The 27,702-nt window shown below is 37.6% G+C and overlaps 1 protein-coding gene across 5 annotated transcripts in view; it reads left to right on the forward strand.

The window, feature by feature from the left end:
• The window catches only part of PI4K2B (phosphatidylinositol 4-kinase type 2 beta), a 45,172-nt gene extending 17,572 nt beyond the window's left edge, over nt 1-27,600 (forward strand). For 2 of the 5 annotated variants that reach the window (NM_018323.4, XM_005248175.5), the window contains exons 2-10: nt 717-871; nt 3,461-3,661; nt 4,939-5,070; nt 7,433-7,586; nt 8,920-8,987; nt 12,146-12,245; nt 16,839-16,972; nt 17,540-17,599; nt 25,410-27,600. In NM_018323.4, the coding sequence (NP_060793.2) occupies nt 717-871; nt 3,461-3,661; nt 4,939-5,070; nt 7,433-7,586; nt 8,920-8,987; nt 12,146-12,245; nt 16,839-16,972; nt 17,540-17,599; nt 25,410-25,583 (1,178 nt within the window). In that variant the 3' untranslated portion in view covers nt 25,584-27,600. The other 3 variants (NR_144633.2, XM_005248174.3, XR_007057941.1) reach the window with 3 other exon arrangements.

A 27,702-nucleotide genomic window follows, 5' to 3' on the forward strand; every position in this document is an offset into this window, starting at 1 on the left:
CAGAGGGACTGAACTGGGAAGACAGGAGGTGCTTGAAATTGAAAGTGTGGTGAGGTTGCAGTTACTGGTATTGACAAAATCCGAGATATGATTGGGGAACTAGAGGATGAAGTAGGATGGATGATAGAATCATTGCAGGACCGAAGTTCAAAGAAATGAGAGGTATTAGTATTATTTTTAATGAACAGTTAACTTCCTCCCATGTTGTTGTTGTTGTTGTTGTTATTATTATTATTTGGACGGTGTCTCGCTCTTATTGCCCAGGCTGGAGTGCAGTGGCGCAATCTCTGCTCACTGCAACCTCCACCTCCCAGATTCAAGTGATTCTCCTGCCTCAGCCTTCCGAGTAGCTGGAATTACAGGTGCCCACCACCACATCTGGCTAATTTTTTGTATTTTTAGTAGACACGGGGTTTTGCCATGTTGGCCAGGCTGGTCTTGAACTCTCCTGACCTCAGGTGATCCACTCGCCTCAGCCTCCTAAAGTGCTGGGATTACAGGCGTGAGCCACTGTGCCCGCCCCCGCCCCCATGTTATTATTTGGAAATTTAAGAGAAGTGGGGGTTGTTAGGCAGTGGGGGGAAGGAGGATTAGAGCAGTCTATACAAATCTTGATTACATTTTTCTGTACCTTATATCCTGATACCGGCAAGCTAATCGATATTACAGGTCCATATCATGAGCATTCTCATAGCTGGTATTTCTTCTTAATGCAGTAACTATTGGTACTTCAGAGATGAATGCATTCTTGGATGACCCAGAATTTGCCGATATTATGCTGAGAGCAGAGCAAGCAATAGAAGTTGGAATTTTTCCAGAAAGAATCTCTCAAGGTTCAAGTGGAAGTTACTTTGTGAAGGATCCTAAGAGGGTGAGAATTTCACAGACCTATTATATGTAATGGAAACTTTGGTAAATACTAATTTAAATATGAAATCATTGTGAGTTTCTAAAGATATTTTCCTATTAAGTCTGATTGTAACCTCTTTTCCAAAACAAAGGTCAGTTTTTGTTTGTTTTTTGAGACGCCCGGGGTCGCCCTCTCTTACCCAGGCTGGAGTGCAGTGGTGCAATCATAGCTCACTGTAACCTTGACCACCTGGGCTCAGGCAATCCTCCCATCTCAGCCTCCCAAGTAGGTGGGACCATAGTTGCGTGCCACCACACTGGGCTAATTTTTGTAATTATTTGTAGAGACGGTGGTCTCCCTATATTGCCCTGGCTGGTCTTGAACTCCTGGGCTCAAGCAAACCTCGGCTTTGGCTCCCAAAGTGTTGAGATTACAGGTGTGAGCCACTGTGCCCAGCCTCAATGTTTTGCTTTTACTAAAGCACTCTAGTGCTTAGAAACAGAGCTAATCAGTTCAAGTCACAGTTTGCTATTTTGTTATTTTATACTTGGTTTCAAGCATTTATTGAATACCCACATTCAGCTGTAGCCTTTTTGAGTATATATATTCACAAGTCCTTATCTTATGGAAGTCTATAACCTTAATAGCCAAACACGGTGGAAGGTTAAACCTTCAAAAGTTGTTTAATGTCATTTCCAAAGTACTTGATTTTTTTTCAAAGGTATGTGAATACCTTTTCTGGCATTTTACCAGGGGAAGGAGGCTTAGCAATCTGAAGCTTGAAAGTATTGGAATGTGAAAGTGAAATGAACCACAGGATGATTCTAAAGTGGAAAAGAGAAGTTGATGTGGCACTTTGCTCCACTTAGTCTAGAATTTTTCAAAAATATGTTATTTTTTCTAAAAGCTTTCTGAATGATGCATAATGAGCAGTTCTTTTCTCCAGGGGAATAACGTTTATAATTTCACCCAATTTTTTTGGCAAAGATAGAAGTTCTATTTTTAAAATGATTTTAAAGCATAGTCCCTTTTTTAAGATTAAAATGTATTTGAAGGTACTGTCAATCTCTCAATCTTTATTCTAAGCTTGATTTCTTAATTTGATCTTGTTGACTTTTTTACTAGTGACTCAGACCTTATTGCATTATATTTATTGTGTTATAAAGCAATTATATACTTAAAATTATAATAAGATTTGTTCTTGTCTAAGGATAATTCAGCTTCTAAATTGAATATGAGTATATTGTATCAAACAATAAGAGTACAGAGACTTTTAGACATTCATGAGCAAAAAAAGATTTTTTAATACGAGAGAATTTAATCAATTTATTTGTTAAGATGGATTCTCACTCTGTCGCCCAGGCTGGAGTGCAGTAGCACAGTCTCGGCTCACTGCAACCTCCACCTCCCGGGTTCAAGCGATTATCCTGCCACAGCCTCCTGAGTAGCCGGGATTACAGGCGCTCGCCACCACGCCGAGCTAATTGTTGTATTTTGAGTAGAGACGGGATTTCCCCATGTTGACCAGGCTGGTCTCCTGACCTCAAGTGATCTGCTCACCTCCCAAAGTGCTGGGATTACAGGTGTGAGCCACAGCGCCTGGCCAAGAGTTTACTTTAAATTGGTTCCTGAAAAAATAGCTGGAAAAGAATTAGGGTACGAGAATCTGACAGCATGGATGTACACTGTATCTTATCATTATATTTGTATTTTAGAGGTAGTTTTTGTCATTGGATTAGTTAATTTAACAAATACTTGGATGTCCACTGTTCATCAGATACTGTTCTGACTACTGGAAATGCAGCCCTAACAAACCAAGTCCTTGCCTTATTAGAATGTACATTAATGTGGGGAAAGTAAACAGCAAACATGTAATGTGGATATTTAATAGATAGTGAATAATAACACTGTTTGACCTAGAATGGTGGTTTTGAAACATTTAAAAATCAGTGAAAGTCTTTCCTTTTTTTTTTTTTTGAGACAGAGTCTCGCTCTGTCACCCAGGCTGGAGTGCAGTGGTGCGATCTCCGCTCACTGCAAGCTCTGCCTCCTGGGTTCATGCCATTCTCCAGCCTCAGCCTCCTGAGTAGCTGAGACTACAGGTGCCCTCCACCACGCCCGGCTAATTTTTTGTATTTTTAGTAGAGATGGGGTTTCACCATGTTAGCCAGGATGGTCTCGATCTCCTGACCTCATGATCCGCCCGCCTCGGCCTCCCAAAGTGCTGGATTACAGGTGTGAGCCACCGTGCCCGGCCCAGTGAAACTGTTTCTTAACTTGGAAGTCCAGCAATATAAAACAGGTGAAATTAGAGTTAATCTGGTTAAGTGGCATGGGGTCTTGGAGCCTTGCCCCCACCTTCCCAGGGTTTGTCAGAGCACAGTTTGAAAACTGGTCTTGATTTTAGATTGTTGAATAAGAATGAATATGAAAATGTGATTGGAACTAAATCTCTTAATAGTTGAGGTTTATAAATCCTCTTAATAGTTTGGGGATTTATGCCTACATCTGTGGTAGGAAGCAGTAGAGAACAATTTATTAGAATGCATTTTATGGATGATTATCTATATATGTAAAAAGTCTAATAAGATTTTTACTTTTTTGCTCTAGAAAATTATTGGTGTGTTTAAACCCAAATCAGAAGAGCCTTATGGTCAACTCAATCCAAAATGGACCAAATATGTCCATAAGGTCTGCTGCCCTTGCTGCTTTGGCCGAGGCTGCCTGATTCCTAATCAGGGGTACCTTTCCGAAGCGGGTGCCTATCTTGTGGACAACAAGCTTCATCTGAGCATTGTACCTAAAACAAAGGTAAGCCAGACTTTATTTTTAACCATGGACTTTTAATTTACAACCTGCTTATATCTGAATATTTCAGTAATTATTCCTAATGATAGAACCTAAAGTGGAGCCCCTTTTTTGGTAGTAGTCCAAGAGTCATGAGTGACTGGTAACTAGTAAATTGATTGTAGTGTAGATCCACAAAGTACTTAAAGGAATGTGTCTTGTCTCTGTGAGATCTGACGATGCTAACAAAAAGAGGATAAAGAACTAGCATTCAGAAGGCAGGAAAATATCAGGGGATCCAGAGATCCTATTGAAGGCAGAGATAACCAATGTGCTTAAAGACTTGTATTGTCCTTTCAGCCTTTATACAAAATTTTTTTCTTTTCTCTTGTTTTGTTTTTTTAAGAGACAGGGTGTTGCTGTGTTGCCCAGACTGGCCTTAAATTTCTCTGCTTATGCAGTCCTCCTGCCTCAGCCTCCTGAGTAGCTGGGACTACAGGCACATACCATCATGTGCCTGGCACCCACATCTTTTCTCTTTATCATGGCTCACTGCAGCCTCATCCTGCTGGGCTCAGGTGCAGCCTCATCCTGCTGGGCTCAGGTGATCCTCCCACCTCAGCCTCCTGAGTAGCTGGGACTATAGGCACATACCATCATGCGCCTGGCACCCACATCCTTTCTGTTCTTTTCTTTTTTTTGAGACAGGGTCTCGTGCCCAGGCTGGAGTATAGGGATGCAATCATGGCTCACTGCAGCCTTGTCCTGCTGGGCTCAGGTGATCCTCCCACCTCAGCCTCCTGAGTAGCTTGTAATACAGGCATCACCACCACACCTAGCCAGCTTTTGTATTTTTAGTAGAGATGGAATTTCTCCATGTTGCCCAGGCTGGTCTCAAACTCCTGAGCTCAAGCAGTCTACCTGCCACAGCCCCCCAGAGTGTTGGGATTACAGGCATGAGCCACTGCACCCAGCTAACCTGGCATCCTTTCTAAATTTTTACTTGAAGCCTTCTTCCTTAAAATGTTTATTCCTAAGTCTACAGTTCAATACTGTTACTTTGACCACTGGCAAATTTAGGCCTCTAAAAGGCTTTTATACCACTCTCAGAAAGAAATATGTGCCCTTCATTTAACAAGGCTTTGCAAAATTCCCTGGCTTTTCTGTTTTAGATTCTCTGGGGCCTTTATTACAGGATTAAACTTTGCTAATTTTCATCATTAGAGTGAGTTTCATGGTGTATATGAAAAGAGATACTATAATGCAAATTCTAACCATTTTTCTGAATTGTATGTTTCTAGGTGGTTTGGCTTGTCAGTGAGACATTTAACTATAATGCGATTGACCGTGCAAAATCAAGAGGCAAAAAGTATGCTTTAGAAAAAGTGCCAAAAGTGGGTAGAAAGTTTCATAGGATAGGACTCCCTCCTAAGGTAAGTTTCTCTGATAAGCTGTATTTAGAGGGCATTTGGGCACATACATCCTGAGCTCTAGGAGCCAGGCATTGTGCTATTAGCTGTGGATATTATAGCACAGATTTTTCATCTTCCAGGAGCTTATAGTAAACAGGTAATTTTAGTGTAATATAAAGCTGTTGAGATGACGGTAAGTTCAGGGAGCTCTAAGAGGATAGATGGATGCCTAACCCAGTTTAGAGGGATGGGAGGTGTTTCCAGGAAGAGGTTGCATGAAAGGCTTATAAAGTAATGGGTAAAACCACAGGTCTGGAATCAGACCTAATCCCAGCCTCTCTGCTAGTTTGCTGGGATTAGGTCTGATTCCAGAACTTACCTCGGGTAAGTTCTTTACTTGCTCTTTCTCTTTCTTTTTTTTTGATAGAGGGTCTCACTCTGTTGCCCCAGCTGGAGTACAGTGTTGTGAACAGGGCTTACTGCAGCCTCGACCTCGTGGGCTCAGATAATCTTCCTGCCTCAGGCTTCTGAGTAGCTGGGACCACAGGTGCACACCACCACACCTGACTAATTAAAAAAAATTTTTTTTGTAGAGATAGAGTCTCACCATGTTGCCTAGGCTGGTCTTGAATTCCTGGGCTGAAGCAATCCTCTCGCTTTGGCCTCCCAAAGTGCTGGGATTACAGGTGTTAGCCGCTGTGCCTGGCCAAGTTCCTTACTCTAAGCTCCAGTTTCTATAAAATGAGAATGACAAAAACTACCTCTTAGGTTGTTGTGAGGAGAAAACTAAGAAATTCATGTCAAGGACTTGGTACATAGTAAAGGTTAAGTAAATGGCAGCAGCTATGTTTACTTACTACACATTAGGTTTTCTTTTTTCTTATCACCTTTAAGTAAACCTGAGGGATGATGAGCAGCCAGCTAAACAAGGGTAGAGAGGGTTAATGGGAAAGGCATTCTAGAAAAAGCTTTAAGACTTATTTTTTAGAAATGTATTTGGCTTATGATTTTCTTGCTTCCCTACATTTATCTAGATAAAAAGAATTTCAGTAGGAATTCATCATTAACCTAACTTTTAAGATAAATTTTACTCAAAGTGGGCAGGAAGTTTGAAAGTTTTTAAAAGGCTTGTTCTTCCTTAGACATGCTGAAATAAGTGTGACTAAAGGAGGATGTTATTTCCATATTTATGACTACTAGGTCTTAGTTATAAGTATTTTAAAGAACACTTGTAGGAAATCATGAAAATTTCATGCCAGCAACAAAAACATTAAGTGTTAGAATAAAAAGCAGATTTTCTTTGTGGTGATTTGTTTGTATTTTTGAAGCAAACTAGGGTTACCTGTTACCTGTTTGTCACATGCTACTTAAATTTTTATTTCCTTCTCCAACAAATTGTTTACTATTAACTAGTAATCTTAGTAACAAAAATGCCTTCTTAAATGGTCATATCTTCAAGGAAAGGACTTTTTTAAAACCGCTATCAATATTATGATTAATAGATTTGTTCTTTAAAATTTAAGACTGGGTATTTAATCTGTGTGGTTAAGGAATCTGTCCTTTTTTTTTTTTTTGAGACAGTCTCGCTGTGTCGCCTAGGTTGGAGTGCAGTGGTGCAATCTTGGCTCACTGTAACCTCTGCCTCCCGAGTTCAAGCGATTCTCCTGCCTCAGCCTTCTGAGTAGCTGGGACTACAGGCATGTGCCACCACACATGGCTAATTTTTTGTATTTTAAATAGAGACAGGGTTTTTACCATGTTGGCCAGGCTGGTCTCAAACTCCTGGCCTCAAGTGATCCACCCACCTCAGCCTCCCAAAGTGCTGGGATTACAGGTGTGAGCCACCACACCTGGCCTCATCCTATTTTTAAAATAAAATAATTTATTTAGAATTCAAAGAAAGAGTCTTAACAACTAAAAAAAAAAAATGAAAAAAAATTATTTATTGTATTTTATGTCATAAAAAGAATCTGGAAAAGTTCAGATAAAATTGCACTGTTACTGAATAAGCAGGATAGGTTTAAAATTTGGCCTCCATAATTAAATTCACCTTAATGAATATTTTTAGAAAAACGGCATTCTTTTTCAGAGTGTCACCTTGAAGACATGTGTTTATTCTTTTTTTAAATTTTCCCAAAATAGCTGCTATGCTCCTTGAAAGTCTAGGGGTAAGCATTTTTTATTTGCTATGTATTCTTTATGTGATTATTTAAAATTAGTGTATAAAAATGGTTTTCTTGATAAATGTGGCTTATCTAAATTAGTGTTAAGTTTTCTTATTGTGTTTACATGACATATTTTTTGACAGTACTGCTGAGAAATATAAATATTAATCCCCTTGTTCTTGTACTTTCTTTTCTAACTATAGTTCTTAAAATTATAGATTGGTTCCTTTCAGTTATTTGTTGAAGGTTACAAGGAGGCTGAATATTGGCTTAGGAAATTTGAAGCTGACCCTTTGCCTGAGAATATTAGAAAACAATTTCAGTCACAATTTGAAAGATTAGTTATTTTGGATTACATCATCAGAAATACAGGTATTGAAGTTCTCTCATTTGTTCACGTAAATCTTGTTCATTTTCAAACTATATTCTTGTTATCCAAATCAAAGCGGTAAACTTTTGTTGCAGAAGTCTTGAAGCCACTTTCTCTGTCTGTCTTGGCAAACAGATGTAGTATTGACTCTCCTGGGCAGAATTCATCCTGTGTGGGATAGATTCTGACTCATAGCAGGCTCCTAGATCAGTTCCTGTCCCCTAGGGAGGAATTTCCTAGGGGCAGGGCAAAGTCAGATATTGGAAATGTTATCTGCATAATGTGAGTAATTAAGGCTTCATTGTATAAATTATGTTAGGTGCTTATTTTGACATTATGTAACTCTTAGTGTAGTCTATAAATACACTAAACTCTTAATTTTTCCTGTGCTATAAAGGAGCAATGACGTAGACCAGGGATGTCCAGTCTTTTGGCTTCCCTGGGCCACACTGGAAGAAGAATTGTCTTGGGCCACACATAAAAACAGTAACACTAATGACAGCTGATGAGCTTAAAAAAAAAAAGTATAAAAAAAAAATCTCATAATGTTTCAAGAAAGTTTACAAATTTTTGTTGGGCCACATTCAAAGCCATCCTGGGCAGCATGCGGCCTGCAGGCCACGGGTTGGATAAGCTTGATGTAGATTATCCAAAGCAGGGGCTCCCCATTGTGGGTCCCTGGACTGTCAGGGTCAGCATTACGTGAGAATTTGTTAAACATGCATCTTCTCAGACACTACGCTGGACCTTTTGGAACAGAAATTGCAAGTGGGTACTGGCAGGCTGGGTTTTAAGGTACCCTCCAGGTAATTCTGATGCATTCTGAAGTTTGAGAACCACTGGTTCAAAATGTTTTCTTATTTAGTTTTTGGAAACGAATCAAATAATTTTCCAGATTCACTTTCTTAATTTACATATATATGTTTATAGTCTAGACTACTTCTATGCTGACATGAGGTGAGCCTGCTTAGAAATTTGCCTAGAAATAGGGGGTTAATGCTTTTTCTTCCTAAAGTGAAGAAAAGCTCTTTGATTTTAATAACCTTGATTTAATAATTGTATCACCTCACAGGGTAGTTTTGAGGATTACATGAATTATTACATACTAAGCACTTAAAACAATGTCGGCCCAGAGAAAATATTCAATAAATGTTAGCTCACATTTATGTTTGTTTTTTTTTTTTTAGTTTCTTTGTGTTAAATTGTGACCTTTAATATGCTACAGATAACCAGTGAAAGTCTCAAAAATCAGGAGATCACTAGAGTTTTCTCATTGATATTAAGCCATGATGTCCATAGAAATGAAGTAACAGATTTTCTTGTTTGTTTTGAAAGACAGGGGCAATGATAATTGGTTAGTCAGATACGAAAAGCAGAAATGTGAAAAGGAAATTGACCATAAGGTAAGGAAATTTACAATTTTATATATATATATATATATATATATATATATACACACACACACACACACACACATACACACACACACGTGTATATAATTGTGTATAACTTGTGAATATTATATATATATATATTCAATTTCTGTAAAAGATTCCTTTAAGTTATTCTTCACCATTTCCTCCTTCTTTCACTTAATCCTTGGTTTTTAAATCTACTGTCTCTGTTTTTCTCACACTTTTTATTTTTGTCACTTGTTTACGTTGCATTTCTTGATTCTTGATTTTTTTTTTTTTTTTTTTTTAGGGGTGGGATTTTGCCGTGTTGGCCAGGCTGGTCTCGAACTTCTGGCCTCAAGCAATCCATCCGCCTTGGCCTCCCAAAGTGCTGGGATTACAGTCATGTGCCACCACACCCAGCCAGTTCTGTTTTTTCTTTTATTAATTGTTGGGCAGCTTTATTTTTTATTTCATATTAGAATAGAAGAATAATACCTGCCTAGTACTTTTTTAGAGTTTGAGAAATATATGGAATCCCCATATTTTGCTTTTATGTAATAAAGGCTTCTGGGATTTTTGTTCACCATGTTTGTATTTTACTAATTCACTTTCTTCTGAGTCCTTTCATTCAGTATTAGATAATACAATATTACCTAATAAATGGAACATGTGTGCTTAACCTGTGAATCTTGTCCACTGAACTTAAAAAAAGTATTAAATACTTTTGCTATTTATAAGAAGCTGGTTTTAACATATATAATAGACTGCATAGAGCCTCAACACTGATATGAGAGTTATAGATTTTAGAGTAATTGCTATCGACTTTGAGTACCAAGTTGAAGTTTTAGATATTTACATAAGATTTTTTTTATAAAATACTTTTACAAGTTTAAAACAGTTTGTACATTTGGGAAAGTTTTAAGTGATTAAAAATATTTCTTCAATATTTATAATTTATGTTCTCAAGTAATGACTTAAAGCTGTTGCATCATTTTTAAAAGTTTGTGCTTTTAAATGTTTATCAAGGATATTTAAAAATACATATTCGTAGCACTTAGCAATAAAAAGGAACAAACGATACAATAGCGTGGATGAAACTTAAAATTATGCTGAGTGAAAGAAGCTACACATAAAGGGAACATATTGTATATTTATATTTAAAAATTAGAAAATGCAAACTAGTTTCTAGTGACAGAAAACAGACCAGTAGCTGGACTGCAGAGGGACACAAGGAAACTTTGGCGTGGAAGTTTCACATATGTCAAGGCTCATCACATTGTACTTGTTAATATAGGAAGTTAATTGTGTATAAATTATACCTTAATAAAGTTGTAAATAGGAAAGAATAGTAGAAATAATAATAAATGGCAGTTGTAGCAGAAATGGGCTTAAAATACAAACATAAATGCTCATATGTATAAGCTCCTGGGCTGGGCACAGTGGCTCATGCCTGTAATCACAGCACTTTGGGACGCCAAGGTGGGAGGATTGATTGAGTCCAGGAGTCTGAGACCCTGTGTCTACAAAGAATTAAAAAAAAATCTTTTTAAAGCGCCACTTAAGGATAAAAGACTTAAAGATAGTAGAAAAAGTAAAATGAAATAAATTAGCCGGACATGGTGGCAGGCACCTGTGGTCCCAGCTATTCGGGAGGCTGAGGTGGGAGGATTGCTTGGGCACAGGAAGTCAATGCTGCAGTGAGTTGTGGTTGTGCCTCTGCACTCTAGCTTGGGTGACAGAGCAAGACCCTGTCTCAAAAAAATAAAAAAATTAAAGATAATTAAATAACATAAGCTCCCCAAATTATTTTATTTGTATATCTTGAGCTGTTAGATTTTGCTGAAAATTCTTTTGCTCTAAGTATTTTGTGCACTTTCAATGAGGTGTAAGACATTTGATATAAACTAAAAGAAATAAAGTTGGCGTACCTCACATCAGCCTTCACTGTAGTGCTTTTAAATTAAAAATTTTCTGTTTTACTTTTTGTTATTGTATCTAGGCCACTTAGTAATGGCCATCTATCTTTAATCAGAATACCCTTTTTTTTTCTTTAAAAAACACACACTTTTAACTTTATTCTGTTTTAATTTCTAAGTAAAGCAATTCCAAAAATACGAAGTTAACATCAGAGCCGTGTGAACCACCGTGGTAAAATAAAACAGATATTCACAATAATTACCTCTAAAGATAGTTGAGCTTGATAAATTACCTTCCGCAGAAATACTCTTTAACATGAAAACCCTCTTTCTCCTGAGATCTTTATTTCTGTTATGGAAGAATACAGAAGTTAGGAACGGCCTACTGTATTAGTACATTCTCACACTGCTATGACGAAATACCCAAGGCTGGGTCATTTATAAAGAAAAGAGACTCACAATTCTGCATGGCTGGGGAGGCCTCAGGAAACTTACAATCATGGCAGAAGGCACCTCTTCACAGGGTGGCAGGAGAATGAGTGTAGGAGAAATGCCAGACGCTTGCAAAACCATCAAATCTCATGAGAACTCACTCACTGTCACGAGAACAGCATGGCAGAAACTGCCCCCATGATCCGATTACCTCCACCTGGTCCCACCCTTGACACATAAGGATTACAGGGGATTACAATTCAAGATGAGATTTTGGGTGGGGACACAGCCAAAAAATAACACCTACATTCAAGAATATCTTGAGGTTCCTTCTACTAGATCTTATATTTAATTATGGTCTTTGAAGGAGTTTCATTTAGAAACATTTTGTGTTTGATTTATTTCTTTGGGACCCTAAGAAAGACTAGGTCTTAATAAGGTGATTATTAAGGTGTTTAAAAAAATTAGTAATATTTTACATCATACATTTAAGCAATGAATCTAGCAGTAAATTATCTAGAACATCACTTTTTAAAGTCACAATATTTTCAAGCCTTTTAAAGAGAAAAAACTTGAAACCATTACTGAGTAATGGTATAATATGAAATTTTAAAAAATAGTGGTTAGGAAATACACTGTTTTTTCAGACAGTCTCTTCCATTCCTGTGTGAATTTGTACTTTTTCTGGTAACATTATTTTTATAGGCTCATCCGAGAGAATATGTTCTTAAACCTCAATAATTATTATAAATAATTTATCCTTTGGGAATATTTATATAGGTTCTTTTATCAACATATCATTTTTCTACTCTATAGGAATCAAAATGGATTGATGATGAAGAATTCCTTATTAAAATAGCTGCAATTGATAATGGTCTAGCATTTCCTTTTAAACATCCTGATGAATGGAGAGCATGTGAGTATTTAGAACCTTCTGTAGAGTCTATAATTACCTTTTTTCCAGAATGAGAAGGGAAAAAAATTTACAGATACCATAGCGGAGGAAAAAGTAGATGAAATATGATTATTCATTAAGGCTCAGTTTTAGGCATTAGGGATGCAAATGTATACTACAGGGTCTTGCTATGAATTTTTTGCTTATTCTGGGATGACTGGTTTTGATTTTTAGGTTTTGTGTTATCCTTGGAAAATGAGTTTAGTAGTGTTCCAGTTTTTAAAAAATATATAACATTGAAATTATTTTAATATTTGGTAGAACTATATTTTACGTTTTTCGTTGTATTCACTTCTAAAACAATTTAGGCCTGCCCTCCACCTGACCTCATTTTTAGGGAGTAGTGCTTTAATTGCTTTCCCAGTCTCTTTTGTGGTAAATGATTACGTTTTCTACATCTTCTTGAACCAGTTTTAGGCACTTTTATTTTGCTTAAAATTTTCCATGATTTCTTGAGTTTTAAATTTATGAGTATAGCATTTTATTAGAATTCTCTTATAATTAAAAAAATTCCCTCTGTGCGTATTGAGTATTTAGGGAGTTAAATGAAATGATTTCTGTAATTTGCCTTAAAATATTGGTGGTGTGGACCAGGAGGGATAAATAAAGCCAGTTTTGCAAAAAAAAATTGGTAATGATTGAGTTAACATGGGAGTTTATTATAGTTGTTTTCTGATATTTGTATGTGTTTAAAATATATGGGCCAGGCATGGTGGCTCACACCTGTAATCCCAGCACTTTGGGGGCTGAGGCTAGCAGATCACTTGAGCTCAGGAGTCCAAGACCAGCCTGGGCAACATGGCGAAACCCCATCTCTACAAAAAATACAAAAATGAGCCAGGTGTGGTGGCCGATGCCTGTAGTCCTAGCTACTTGGGAGACTGAGGTGAGAGGATTACTTGAGCTTGGGAGGTGGAGGTTGCAGTGAGCCAAGATGGCACCACTGTACTCCAGCCTGGGTGACAAGAGTGTAAGGCCCTGTCTCAAAAATAAAATAAAAAATATATAGTATGTTTAAAAAATCTGGCTGGGTGCAGTGGCTCACGCCTGTAATCCCAGCACTTTGGGAGGCTGAGGTGGGTGGATTACCTGAGGTCAGGAGTTTGAGATCAGCCTGGGCAACATGGTGAAACTCCATCTCTACTAAAAATACAAAATTAGCCGGGTGTGGTGACACATGCCTGTAATCCCAGCTACTCGGGAGGCCGAGGCAGGAGAATCGCTTGAACCTGGGAGGCAGAGGATGCTGTGAGCCGAGATCGCGCCATTGCACTCCAGCCTGGGCAACAAGAGTAAATCTCTGTCTCACCAAAAAAAAAAAAAAAAAAAAAAATTTGTATCCATGATATGTCTCTTTTAAATTCCTTCAATTTATTAGTGAGCCTTTTACTCATTAGGCTTGCCAAAGATTTGTCTATTGTTAAGCATCGGTCCTTCTATTTATTTAATTATTTATGCTCTTTTTCCCCAGATAATTGCCTTTTTATTTTATAGATCAGGCTTTTAGTTTGTTTGCTTTTTCTTTTATAGATTTATGTTTTCCATCATTATTCTTTTCTCCTATTATGTTCATGCTATATCGCTTTCCTATAAATGCATATTAGGCCTCATACTTTCCTCTGGGTATCATTTTGGCTAAATCACGGGTTGCACAGGTGGTACTCTATGGCTCTGCTTTACATACTCATATTTTCTGACTTTCTTTTTGACAGGAATAATTTAGAAGTATTTTGTTTGATCTTAAAATTTCTACGTCAGCTTATTTTAATTGTCCATTATTACTATTTCTAAGAAACTGTTCATTGTTATTTTCCAGCATTATTGCATTGTGATCTGTGAATATGGCCTGTGTAAATTCTGTTTTGCAATTTGTTAGTAATTTCTGTATGATCCTATATATGGCCTATTTAGAGGATAGTATTTGAAAAGAATGAGGACAAAATTCTGTCTGCTAACCTGAAGGTTGTTAGTCATATCATATCCTTTACTTATTTTCTGACTATTTAATCTGTTAATTTTCAGAGGAAATTAATGATCACTGTGATTGTGATTTTGTCAGTTTTTTCTTCAATTTCTATGCATTTTTTGCTTTGTATTTCACGTGTGTAGAGGTCCAGTGGTTTATCTTCCTGGTGGCTTCTTTTTTTTTTTTAATCAGTGTGAAATATGTCCCACTTTGTGTATACCTCAGTGGCCTTTGCTTTTCTTATTTGGTTTTCTGTAACATTGTTATACCTCCGTTCATTTTGTTAGCATATACCTGGTATTATTCTCTACATTTATGCATGTGTGAATGAATGACAAGGTCCCCCTCTGTCATCTAGGCTGGATTGCAGTAGCATGCTCATAGCTTACTGCAGCCTCAAACTCCTGGCTCAAGCAATCCTCCTGCCTCAGCCTCTCAAGTAGCTGAGACTACAGGCACACGCCATCACACTCAGCTAATCTACTTTTATTTTTAACTTTTATCATTTTGTTTTAGATATGTGACTTATGAAGAATACTTAGCTGTTTTTTTAACCCAGTCTGAGTCTTTTAATAGGTGCACTTTGTAGTTTAAGTCTCAATAAACTACTGATACGCTTAAGCTTTTCCTGCCCTCTTATTTTTTTCCTATTAAACGTGAATTGTAATTTGTTCTTTTTTGCTTGTCCTGTCTTTTATTGAACTGATTTGAAATGTCTTGGTTCCATTTTATTATTTTCTCCTAATGGTTTGGAACCTTTATGCAAATTGCATTTGTAAAGGGTTTAAAGGGTACATCTAGGAAATTTTACCAAACATGCAGTTGGGGATTAAAGGTTGGAGCTTGAAAAGGAATTGGTAGTGGGGATATAGTTTTTATTTCTTTTTCTTTTTCTTTCTTTTTTTTGGTTTTCTGGGATATGAGAGAGAGGAAATAGCTTTTAAACTGTCATCTTGTTGATGGAAGTCATGGTAGTGTTTGCTATTACTGAGGAAAATCACAGAGAACAAACACTATTGCCTAGCACAATGCCAGGTACATAAGTATTCAGTGAATGTTTTATGAATGCTTAAATAAATAGAGAAGAGAAAGGACTAAGTGTGGAATCAGGGGTAACAGTGACATTGAAAGAGGGGAGGAAAAACTAGCAAAAGAGAGAAGGAGTAGCTTACAAGACAGAAGGTAAACTTAGAGTGGTATCTCCAACACCATAGAGGAGAGAATTTCATAAAGGAGATGATAGAAAACAGTGCTACATGCTACAGAGAGATTAGGTAGCATGACAACTGCAAGTGAGCCTTTGGACAGACCCTTGGGTCTGGTGACTGGTGGCCTTAGGAGAGAGTGTTTAGATAGTAGTACTAGAAGTTGAGTGTTGGGATTAAATGTAGAGGCAGATGAAAAATAAGGGCCTTTCTTCTATGAAATTATTCAGGGAAAACTAAAAAGAAAATTGGACATATCTACAAGGAGATGTGAGCCAGGGGAAATGCTTTCTTTAGAATGAAAAGTGACCTTCCTACTGTGTGCAATGAGATAGATCAAGAAGTGAGAGCCAGGCGCTGAGGCGCACTCCTGTAGTCCTAGCTACTTGGGAGGCTGAGGCGAGAGAATTGCTTGAGCCCAGGAGATTGAGGCTATAGCGAACTATGATTGTGCCACTGCACCCTAGCCTGAGTGACTGAGGAGGAATGACTCCAAAGGCAGATTTCTTCTTCAGGGCTTTCAAAGTGGTAGGATCCACCAAAGCTGGGGATTCTCATTGGATATGCTCACAGTAGCTCTGTGGATGATCATGTCAAAAACCTTACACTCTTGCAGGAATCTGAATATGCACCCTCTCTAGAAGATTATACCTGTACAAATCTCTCTAGTCCTGGCGTAGTTTAGATTTAATGGTCTTCTTGAGGGAGAATTAGAGATAGCTTAGAGTCATGGATCTTTTGTCTCTTAAAATGACTCACCCATTTACCTCCTAATGATTTCAAAGTTTAGAACATCTTCTGTGTACAAGTAAGTGGTCAATTTCTGATGATTTGTAGCTGTGGAGGCTAGGCAGACCTCAGCTGTGGTATTCAATCTGTGCCCGGGTGCGGTGATATGCATCTGTAGTTCCAGCTACTTTTGAAGCTGAAGTGGGAGAATCCCTTGAGTCCAGAAGTTCAAGGCTGCAGTGAGCTGTAATCTTGCCACTGCACTCCAGCCTGGGTGACACAGTGAGACCCATTATCTTAAAAATATATAATAATAAAAACAATCTGGGGCTGTGTACAAAGTATAGGTATTCATCAGTTTCTGAACTGAGGAACCAGATAGACTGAGGTACATTTAGAGCTATTTGAGATAGATTCATTATCTAAACTCTTACTCTTTACTGTCTAAAACTCAGAGACATTACTAGTTTACTACCTGAATTGACTGTCCAAATCTGAGTAATTTGGATTGCAGTGGGTAGTTGTACTCTGATTAAGTTCTTATCCTGTCCTTTTTTGGGGAGAACCTAGGAGTTGTAGGAAAGAACCGGGAAAAATGTAAGTCTAAATAAACCATTTCCTACCACTGATTAGGAGAATGCTTTTTTCTATTAGATCCATTTCACTGGGCTTGGCTTCCTCAAGCAAAAGTTCCCTTTTCTGAAGAAATAAGAAATTTGATTCTACCATATATTTCTGACATGAACTTTGTGCAAGATTTATGTGAAGATCTCTATGAACTTTTTAAGGTAAGTTAATGCTTAGTTTGATTATTGCAGAAAATGAAATCTTAAAATAGAAGAGACTGCTTAATAGAGCTGATTTGCAATTTTCTATTTCTTGTATTGCTGCTTGCCATAAAACCTGACAGGACAGAGAGGAATTAGCAGTTTTATTTACAGGAGCATAGATTCATAAAGCTATACTTACTGTGAGCATTCTTTGAAGTGAGACTACATTAAAACTTAATTTGCTGTTTTCTTCAAAAGTTGAATTTTTACAAGAAGACTCTATAAATTATAATACATATTTGGTGACCTGCTATGTTTTAGTTCTCTTAAAAAGCCTAAATTCATTGGCTGGAAAGTCATGTTAAATCCTTTCTGGAACAAGTTCAGGTCCAAATAAATAAGTCTATTCGTGTCATTCTGGGAGTATACAAAAATACCTCAGGTAAAAATACTATTTTTGTTTTATTTTATCAATTAGGAAAGCTTTTTAATGGCCTTATTTGCTGAGTTGAAGAGTTCATCTGTTTTCAAATATTTATATCAAAGTCTTTATTTTGGGAATTGTTTTTTTCCTTTCTATAATAGACTGACAAAGGATTTGACAAAGCCACTTTTGAAAGTCAGATGTCTGTGATGAGGGGTCAGGTAAGTTACCTTTTTATTTGTTCATAAGGAAAAAAATCTCTTTGAAACAGTAGTCAACTGTTTTCCCCACTGTGATCTGGAGATGGAATTTTTAATACTACCTCTTATGCTGAACCAAAATAGCCCAGATTATTAGAAATGAAGTTGATTCGGCCGACTGCAGTGGCTCACGCCTGTAATCCCAGTGCTTTGGGAGGCCAAGGCGGGTGAATCACCTGAGGTCAGGAGTTCGAGACCAGCCTGGCCAACATGGTGAAACCCCATCTCTACTAAAAATACAAAAAAATTAGCTGGGTGTGGTGGCGGGCACCTGTAATCACAGCTACTTGGGAGGCTGCAGCAGGAGAATCGCTTGAACTCGGGAGGCAGAGGTTGCAGTGAGCTGAGATCACGCCACTGCACTCCAGCCTGAGCAACAAGAGCAAAACTCCATCTCAAAAAAAAAAAAAGAAATGAAGTTGATTCAAATAGTTTCTTCCCTCTATTATCTTATAAATTAGGTGGGTTTTTTTTGTTTTTGTTTTTTTTGAGACAGAGTCTCGCTCTGTAGCCCAGGCTGGAGTGCAGTGGAACGATCTCGGCTCACTGCAAGCTCCGCCTCCCAGGTTCATGCCATTCTCCTGCCTCAGCCTCCCGAGTAGCTGGGACTACAGGCGCCCACCACCACACCCGGCTGATTTTTTTCTATATTTTTAGTAGAGACGGGGTTTCACCATGTTAGCCAGGATGGTCTCGATCTCCTGACCTCGTGATCTGCCCGCCTCAGCCTCCCAAAGTGCTGGCATCACAGGCGTGAGCCACCGCGCCCAGCCTAACTTAGGTATTTTTGACCTTGTTGTATACTGTTTATTTAGCTCAGTGTTTCCCCTGCTATGAATTGTTTGTCCCCATTTTGATAGCTATTTTCTTGGGCATCACTACCTTTTTCCCTCTCAGATTCACTCACTTAGACATTTCAGTACCAAGTTCTGTTGTCAATAGATTACTTTTTTTCTTTTTTCGCGGAATGTGGCTTTTGCTAGAGCAGTCACTAAATAACCATGTCACCAAGATTGAGTATCAATTGTGACATGAAAAAACTAATTGTAACTCAGTCCTCTCCCTGACCCCCCTTTCCTCTTGTTTTTTTGGTTTTTTTTCTTTTTTTCTTTTCTTTTTTTGAGACAGACTCTTGCCCTGTCGCCCAGGCTGGAGTGCAATGGTGCGATCTCAGCTCACTTCAACCTCTGTCTCCCAGGTTCAAGCGATTCTCCTGCCTCAGCCTCCCAAGTAGTTGGGATTACAGGTGTGCATCACCACACCCAGCTAATTTTTTTGTATCTTTAGTAGAGATGGGATTTCACCATGTCGGCCAGGCTGGTCTTGAACTCCTGACCTTGTGATCCAGCCGCCTTGGCCTCCCAAAGTGCTAGGATTACAGGTGTGTGCCACCGTGCCCAGCCCCTCCTCACCTTTAGTTAAAGGTTAGAAGTACAAGGCATTAAGTCTGCTGATGTGGATCTGCAGGCTGGGCTCACTGCAGGCTGGGCTCACTGTTAGATGACTTCTGCTTCTTGGACTCTATGAATGGTATTTCTATTCCAAAAGGAAAGCTTGAAATATAAATAAATTATACTGTAAACATTGTCTTTTAGCGTCTTATAAATTAACATTCTCTTCCTAAAATATACATTTAAGGTAGCTGTTTGCCACAATACCTGTAGCAAAGAAGTACAAGTCCATATAATTACACAGAGAATCATTCATTCATTCACCAAATGTTTATTGACAGAACTAGTGCTGGCAACTAGTCACTGGAGATAAAGCAGTAAGCAAAACCAAGCTTCTGCTGTCATGGAGTTTTGCTCTGCAGAGAAGGCCAGGGCTCGGTGAAAAGGGACAGGTGATTTTAGATTATTAGCTCACGCATCTCTCTGCTCCATCACATTTATGCAGTGCTTAATGCAGTCATGAGTTTTAAGTAGTTAAGTGAAGGCTCGAGAAATAGAATGGAGCCAGAGTATAGAGGGCCTTAAACACCAGACTGTAGATTCCACAAGGAAAGGATTGGAGCAGTTAGAAATTAAGCATTAAAGAAGGGCTGTGATGAGACAGAAGTTTTCGAAAAGGAGATCTTATTCTGGGTTTCTTCTATGAACTCCTTGAAATTGTGTATGAAATGTTAATATGTGCATTTTGGGTGTGAGAGAAGATAGGATTTATATCTCAGCAAAAATATTTATATCCCTCAAAAAAGTTAAGGACTACTGCAGAAGGCTGGGCTGGACAGTAGGGTACAGATTTGCTTAGTAGACGAGGAGATGACAGCCAAGGAGCCTCACTAAGAGGCTTTTTCTGGTAATTGAGGCATCAATGGAAGGATTAGGTGATCAATGATTATAATCATGTTGCAGAGTTTTGCCATCCCAAAACTTATTTGAGCTAAATTTTTAGGCATAGATAAATATGCCTTGATTTGACCTTTGTGTTTGAAATAAATTGACTTGACATATCAATATGCTTCATCTTCTGGAACTTTCTTATCCCTAAAGGTTTATTTTTATTTTAGGAATCTGATTTAAAATAAAGAAGTAAATAAAAGCTGTTAAATAATTTTGTCAGCTTTAATTGTGGTTTAAAGTTAACACCTGAGGAATTTAAATTTTTAAAAAATACCTGTCTGAGTGCAGTGGCTCATGCTTGTAATCCCACCATTTTGAGAGGCAGAGGAGGGCAGATTGCTTGAGCTCAGGAGTTCAAGATCAGCCTGGGCAAATGGCGAAACCCCATCTCTACAAAAAAATACAAAAATTAGCCACGCATGGTGGCATGTGTTTGTAGTTCCAGCTGCCAGGAGCCTGAGGCAGGAGGATCACTTGAGCCCCAGAGGTGGGGGAGACTGCAGTGAGCTGAGATTGCGCCACTGCACTCCAGCCTGGGCAGCAGAGCAAGACCTTGTCTTAAAAAAAAAAAAGCCTGTCTAAGAAGGTGTGGGAGTGTTCCAGTTCTGAGGCCTGTTACAAAGATGTGTCTGTGGCTGTCTCCTATTTTAGGTTTATTTACTCATATCTTATCTCATGTACAAAAGAAAAAGGCATTATAAAAATGAATATAATAAAATATGAAGATGACAGGGTCAACAACTTAGGAGAGAAAGAAATAAAATGATGATACTTTGGTTATTATACGTTGTCACTTGATTTTGTTTTGTTTTTTAATTTTAATTTGATTTTGAGCTTTCCGATAGCCAAAAAAGATAATATGTCCTGACCATGTACATGACTATGTAGCTCTCTGGTTTTGGCTGTTTTTACTTTTTAAAAAAAAGTTGGTCTAAGGCCAGGTGTGGTGGCTCATGGCTGTTGTCCCAGCTACTTGGGAGGCTGAGGCAGGAGGATTGTTTAAGCCCAAGAGTTCGAGGCTGTAGTACACTGTGATGACACCTGTGCATAGCCACTGCACTGCAGCCTTGGCAACAGACCAAGACCTCATCTCTTAAGAAGAAGGGAAAAAAAGATCTAAAAAATCAGGTATTGGGCCAGGCGTGTTGGCTCACACCTGTAATCCCAGTTTGGGAGGCCAAGGTGGGTGGATTGCTTGAGCCCAGGAGTTCAAGGTTGTAATGAGCTGTGATCACACCACTACACTCCAGCCTGGGCAACAGAGAAAGACCTTGTCTCTAAAAAAAAAAAAAAATTTACCTATATTCCAAACAACAGAATAATTACTTCAGCAAATTCCTCAAGTCAAAATACTTGTGTTATTTCTGTCAGTTATAAATATCATTTAAATCCCTCTCCCTTCCAATTTTGCTTATTAACTTAATGGTTTGTGCTTTCTACAGCCAAGTCTTTTGCCCTAGTTTGTAGTAAGCCGTTAGTTTTACACATATATCAATGGCGTGCTCTAATTCTTCACATAAAGATGTGGACTGAAACAATATGAAAGTTTTTTTTTTTTAATTCAGAGCTGGTAATAATGTTTATGAACGTTAAAGATAAACAATGTTTTGAATTTTATATTAAATAGCAATAGGTCATAATCAGGGTAGGTAAAATTCATCTTATATTCTAATTTGGAACACTGAAACTGAGAATATATTTACTTATAAGCAATGTGAAATATATTTTCCATGTGACCTGAAAAAATGCAGAAATAATAACTAAAACTTTTTCTGAAAACATAATGAACTTACCTTCAGAGATTTATATACCAGAAACTCATTTACAGATTCAATAATAATTGACATTAAAGAAAGTGAAACTAACCCTTTAGTACCTCCTGGTACTTGACCCCTTACTGGACACTTTAATGATGCTTATTATTGTTTATCCTCAAAACACCTCCACAGAGTAGTCTACGTTTTAGGTGGAATGACTTTGGCTCAAAGGGCTTTAATAACATGTATCTGTGAAATAAGGGCGCCTGCCAGCCTGGCCAATCGGCAACATTTAGGCATTGCCTCTGCCCGGGGCCCTTATCATCTCTCCTCTGGATTTACCGACATTCTAAGTTGACCTTCCCTCTTCTCCCATTCCTCTTCCACGCTGAAACAAGAACAATCTCTAAAAACAAATCTGAGTATGTCTTCTGTTATTTAAAATTCCTATAATTTGTCCATGTGTACAGGCTCAAGTCCAGGCTTTCAGCACAGTCGACAACACAGTCGGGCTCCAAACAGTGCATCTACCTTTATCTCTTGCCGTTTTGCCCCTCTCCCTGGGCTTGGCAAATCTGAACTGCTCTTCCTTCCCCTTTCCCAGTGGTGCTCTTGCGCACGCGATTCTTTCCCCTCGATGCCTTGCCCTCTGTATCTAGGAAACAGTTTTTCTTCCAACATCCACGTCAGTCTTCCTAAACTCCTCCTGTTCTGATTTTTGCAGCACTCCCTGGGAATATGCTGGTGTCACATTTTACTCAGAAATTTGGTTTTTAAATCAACATATGGGGTACATTGCTATAGAGAGATAGCTTAAAATCTACGAAAAAGTAGAATATATGTGGTTTGATGTATATAGTGCAGTAATTCTCAGGCCCACGGAAATTTAAAGACCAGCGAACTAATCTAAAGGAAAGCAAAGTCAGTATGTAGAAGCCCACAAGTTTATACCACCTGCCTGGACCACAGCTGTCACATCCCCGTCAAGCTGTCATTATGGCATGGGTGGAGAAGTCTAGTGTCTCCCCTGGCCTGCAGAATTTGCTCCATTCTATTTTTTTAAATAATCCACTCTGATTTAAACAGATAGTAATAGATTTGTTATTCTTTGAGAAATGAAAAACTAGGTGGTATGTTGGGGAGAGGGGATCAGATTTTAAAGTCAGGGCAGAGGTCCTTTCCATCACACACAAGTATTGCAATTACTTGTTCATGTGGCTGCTTCTAGAATTTGAGTTCTTTAAGGGCTTACATGGCTTTTCCCTCATTTGGTCCCCTCTTCTCCCCAACACCGTGAGTGCTCAGTAAGTGTTTCCTTAGTAAATAAATGCAGGATTATCAAGTGTCTTCTGAATTCCCGAAGAAATATTAATAGGTTAATTTCAGGATTTAATAATTTATGCAATTTCTGTAACTATTTGAAAATTAATAATTTGTAGAGCAACTTCCGTTTTCCTATACTTTTTTTTTTGGAGACAGAGTCTCCCTCTGTCACCCACGCTGGAATGCAGTGGCGCGATCTCAGCTCACTGCAACCTCTGCCACCCAGGTTCAAGCGATCCTTGTGCCCCAGCCTCCCTGATAGCTGGGATTACAGGCATGTGCCACCACACCCAGCTAATTTTTATTTTTTGTATTTTTGTGTAGAGATGGGGTTTCATCATGTTGGTCAGGCTGGTCTCAAACTCCTGGCCTCAAGTGATCCACCCGCCTTGGCCTCCCAAAGTGCTGGGATTACAGGCATGAGCCACCACACCTGGTCAACGTTTCTGTTTTCCATATTCTCTGCAAGAGTCACATACTGTTCTTAGAGTCAGGAAAATATTAACTGTTACTTAAATTGGTATATTTAGGCTAACATTTTTAGAATAGAATTCTTAAAACCCAAAGAGGAAACTAACCAAAACATTTCCTTCCTTAGCTGTGCTAGTGCACACTTTTATATTCATGGTAGGAACAATGCTTATAATAAACTCAAATTTCATAAATTCTTTTTTTCTTGTTATCCAAATGTAGTCAATTTAGGAAATTTTAAGGGAAGGCTGGGTGTGGTGGCTCATGCCTATAATCCCAGCACTTTGGGAGGCTGAGACAGGTGGATCTCTCGAGCCTAGGAGTTCAAGACCAGTCTGGGCAACAAAGCGAAACCCTGTCTCTCCACAAAGTACAAAAACTAGCTGAGGTGGCGTGTGCCTCTAGGCCCAGCTACTCTGGAGTCTGGGGTGGGAGGATCGCTTGAGCCCAGGAGGCAGAGGCTGCAGTGCACTGTGATTGCACTCTGCACTCCAGCCTGGGTGACAGAGCAAGACCCTGTCTCAAAAACAAAACAAAACAAAACAAAAAAAAAGAAAATGTTAAGGGAAGAACTTAAAAGTGATCCTAAAACATAAACATAACCTATAACACTGTTACTAGTAAAGATCTATTTTCCTGATGTGTTAAATGCTCCAAATATTCTACAAACTAAAATCATCTAGTTTGGCCAGCTGTGGTGGCTCACACCTGTAATCTCAGCACTTTAAGAGGCCAAGGCAGGAGGATTGCATGAGCCAGGAGTTCAAGATCAGCCCTGGCAACATAGCAAGACCCCATCTCTACAATCAATCAGTCAATCAATCAATCAATCAACCAACCATCTAGTTTATACTATTTAAAGTATTATGAAGTTTATTTATTAGTATGGCTTTATGTGGAAACATTTATGCTTATCACTATTGACTAGTCTTTACAAGAACCAGTGAAATGCATAGGATGTATATATTAGATATTTTCAAATACCTGAAGGAGAAATCTGTATTTCTAAAATATACAAGAAAGGACATTTTTCCTAATATGCAGGGAAAAAAGAAGATGAACTGCTATAATTTTATTTGACCTGAACAGAGACCAGAATAATCTATGTATTGTGTTTCATAACCTTATTTGCATGCCCAAGTAGAAATTCCCAGAGTATCTTTGAACATGATATGTAATATATTTTACTTTCCCTAATTTTATTTTTCTTAAGAGTAAACTCTTAAATGTACCTTTATTTGAAATGACTGCCTTCCCAAATTCTCTAACCTATTTGCCCTGCTTCATGCTTTCCCATAGCAATTTCACCTTCTAATACATGGCATAATTTACATATTCATGTTTATTGACTCTTCTCCCTGCTAAAGTGTAAGCTCTACGAAGGCAGCAAGTTTGCTTGTTTTTTTAACTATTGTATCCCTAGCACTTACAGCAGAACCTCGCACATAGTAGGCATACAATAAATTTGTTGAATGAATGGATAAGGCAAGTATTTAGTTAAAACCAGACTGTTTAAACCAGTATTTGTTGAGTTTTTATGTTAAATTGAATATGTATGTAGACCTCTTCACTTACCGTTCTTTGATTCCATTGCTCCTGGACATAGGCAGGATATTCTAGAATATTTTAAACTTACCATCTGGCAAAAGTTATTTAATGCTAATTGTGTGTGTGTGTGTGTGCGCGTGTGTGTGTGCGCGTGTGTGTGTAAACATACATTCATATAATACATATTTATAACAGGTACTTATCTTCACAGTCTCTGTTGCTCATAAATGGATGAAATAAAAATTATAATGAATAAATGGTTTAAAAAATGTCAGTGAAGTGAAGCTTTTTATCTTTTTAAATTGGTAAAAATCTCTCTTCTTCCCACAGATCTTAAACCTTACTCAGGCATTGAGAGACGGGAAGAGTCCTTTCCAGCTAGTACAGATACCTTGTGTGATTGTGGAACGCAGTCAAGGTGGAAGTCAGGGTCGGATTGTCCACCTGAGCAATTCCTTTACCCAGACTGTCAATTGCAGGAAGCCATTTTTTTCCTCCTGGTAGTAAATGTCAGAGTAAGAGAAACAAACTGTTTAGAATTATCATGTTTTTAAAACATCATAGTAATATAAATCTGCTGTTAGGAGCTCCAGTTGCTAAAACCTCAATTTAAGTCTTTAAAAGGTTGTATTTTGAATGTAACCAAAAGTTTACAGTTTTTTGTCCAAATATTAAATTTCTATTTCAGGGAAGAAGTGCTATATCTCCTATATTGTATTTTTGTAGAAAATTTGTATTTTATGTTGTTGTTAGTTTAAAAGGTAATTTTACACATGCTGGAATGACTGTAATTACTCTAGAATTCCAAGTAGAATACAATAACTTTTAATATTGAGAAGAATGTTCATGCTAATTCTTCTTACATTACAAAAGGCCTTTGAGGATGCCTACGTCTGAAATTGCTCTTACGAACTTTAATAAAATAGTTAGCTAATAGAAAAACAGGTAAGAATAAAGCAATGTTGCCTTAATTTCAAAAGCTGCTATTTTAGAATTTGAATAAGTACTCCTAAAGTGACCATTATTAGGGACCAGAAAATTATATCTTGGCTAAGTAATAGAGGACCATTTTGGTTTTTGTACTTGAGAATATTTTTGGTGAATTACTTTGTTGTAGTGAGGAAAAAACCTAAGAAATTTCCCCTTTTTTTAAAAAATGGAAATATTCAATTGAGACTTGAGGGGAATAATAGAAAATTAAGGTAGATCCCCAATATTTTGGAATACCAAAATTGCCTTAAAAATTCCCTTCTGTTTCTTACATGGGATCAAATACTTGAGATTAGTACTTCAGAGTACTGGCCTTGTTCAATTTAGTACTTCAATTAGTATTAAACTTCACTAAAAAGTAAACCATACTCCAAATTGTATATTGGATTGCATTTTGGGGTCCTAGGTCATACGTTCTTCAAAATTATTATGATTGTACTATTGTACTTGAAATTACAGATGTTATTATAATTACAGTCAAATGTAGACTATCAGGCCAAATTAAAGGGGAGCATGGCAGATAACCATAAAGTCATTTATATTTGATTTTGAAATGTATTTTTGTACTTTATTTTGAATATCATCCATATGTCTGACATTATTGGAATTTGTAACATTGTTAATGCACTAAGTGATTTAAATTCAATTGATGAAGATGTGATTTTACAGAAGCAGAAGTTTCATTTTCTTGAGGCTTAAAACCAATGTCACCACTTGGGCTTAACTGGGTAATTTGTGGTCTAGGCCTTTTGTTTTCTAAGCTTACTATCTTGTGTTTGTTTATTTGCTTTTAATGAAGTATTTTGTGTAGAAGGTTAAATTAGGATGCAAAACAGATCTGCCATTCCTTTTTCCCTTATATCTTCCTTTTGGTCTTCATGGACGAGATGAATGAGGATTCTGCTGCCCTGAGGGAGTTCATTGGAAACCTGCGTTCTCCTACCTCTTCCAACCCTCCATTAGCTCAATTTTGAGATAATGGAAAATTGACTGGAAATTCAAAACTCAAACTACTATCTTTAGATATAAACACTAGTAATTAAAATGTGCCTTTTGAAGATGTTTTCTAAGAGAAAGGAAATACGTTGCAGTGATGTGGGTACTGCTTTCATAAAACAGTTTTTTCAGTATTTTGAGAATTGCCATATTAATTTTTATAATGGAAAACTTAATAAATTGCTACTGTTTTATATCATAAAATTAAAATACCATGGTAATATTTGCAAAAGGTCTGGCCATACCAGAAAAGTACAGTTGAGATAGTTAAGATATAACCACAAGTCAGAGTACATTGGTTGTATTTTGTAAACTTTCATGAACTGAATTCTTATTTAAATAGTATGGTTTTTTTTCAATAAGTATATTTATAGTGACAAATGTGGTAGACTAAAGGTAATAAAAATCATTGTCTTAAGATTATGTTCTTCTGTATGTACGTGTTTGGAATATTTAGAATGTTTATGAACACATTTACTATAAATGATGCCAAACTATCATTTTCTTCATATATTAAAGGTATAGTTTAATTCTTTTTTTTTTTTTTTTTTTTTGAGACGGAGTCTCACTGTGTTGCCCAAGCTGGAGTGCAGTGGCATGATCTCAGCTCACCACAACCTTCATCTCCCAGGTTCAA

Source organism: Homo sapiens, chromosome 4 (assembly GCF_000001405.40).
Source record: "Homo sapiens chromosome 4, GRCh38.p14 Primary Assembly".
Taxonomy (NCBI): domain Eukaryota; kingdom Metazoa; phylum Chordata; class Mammalia; order Primates; family Hominidae; genus Homo; species Homo sapiens.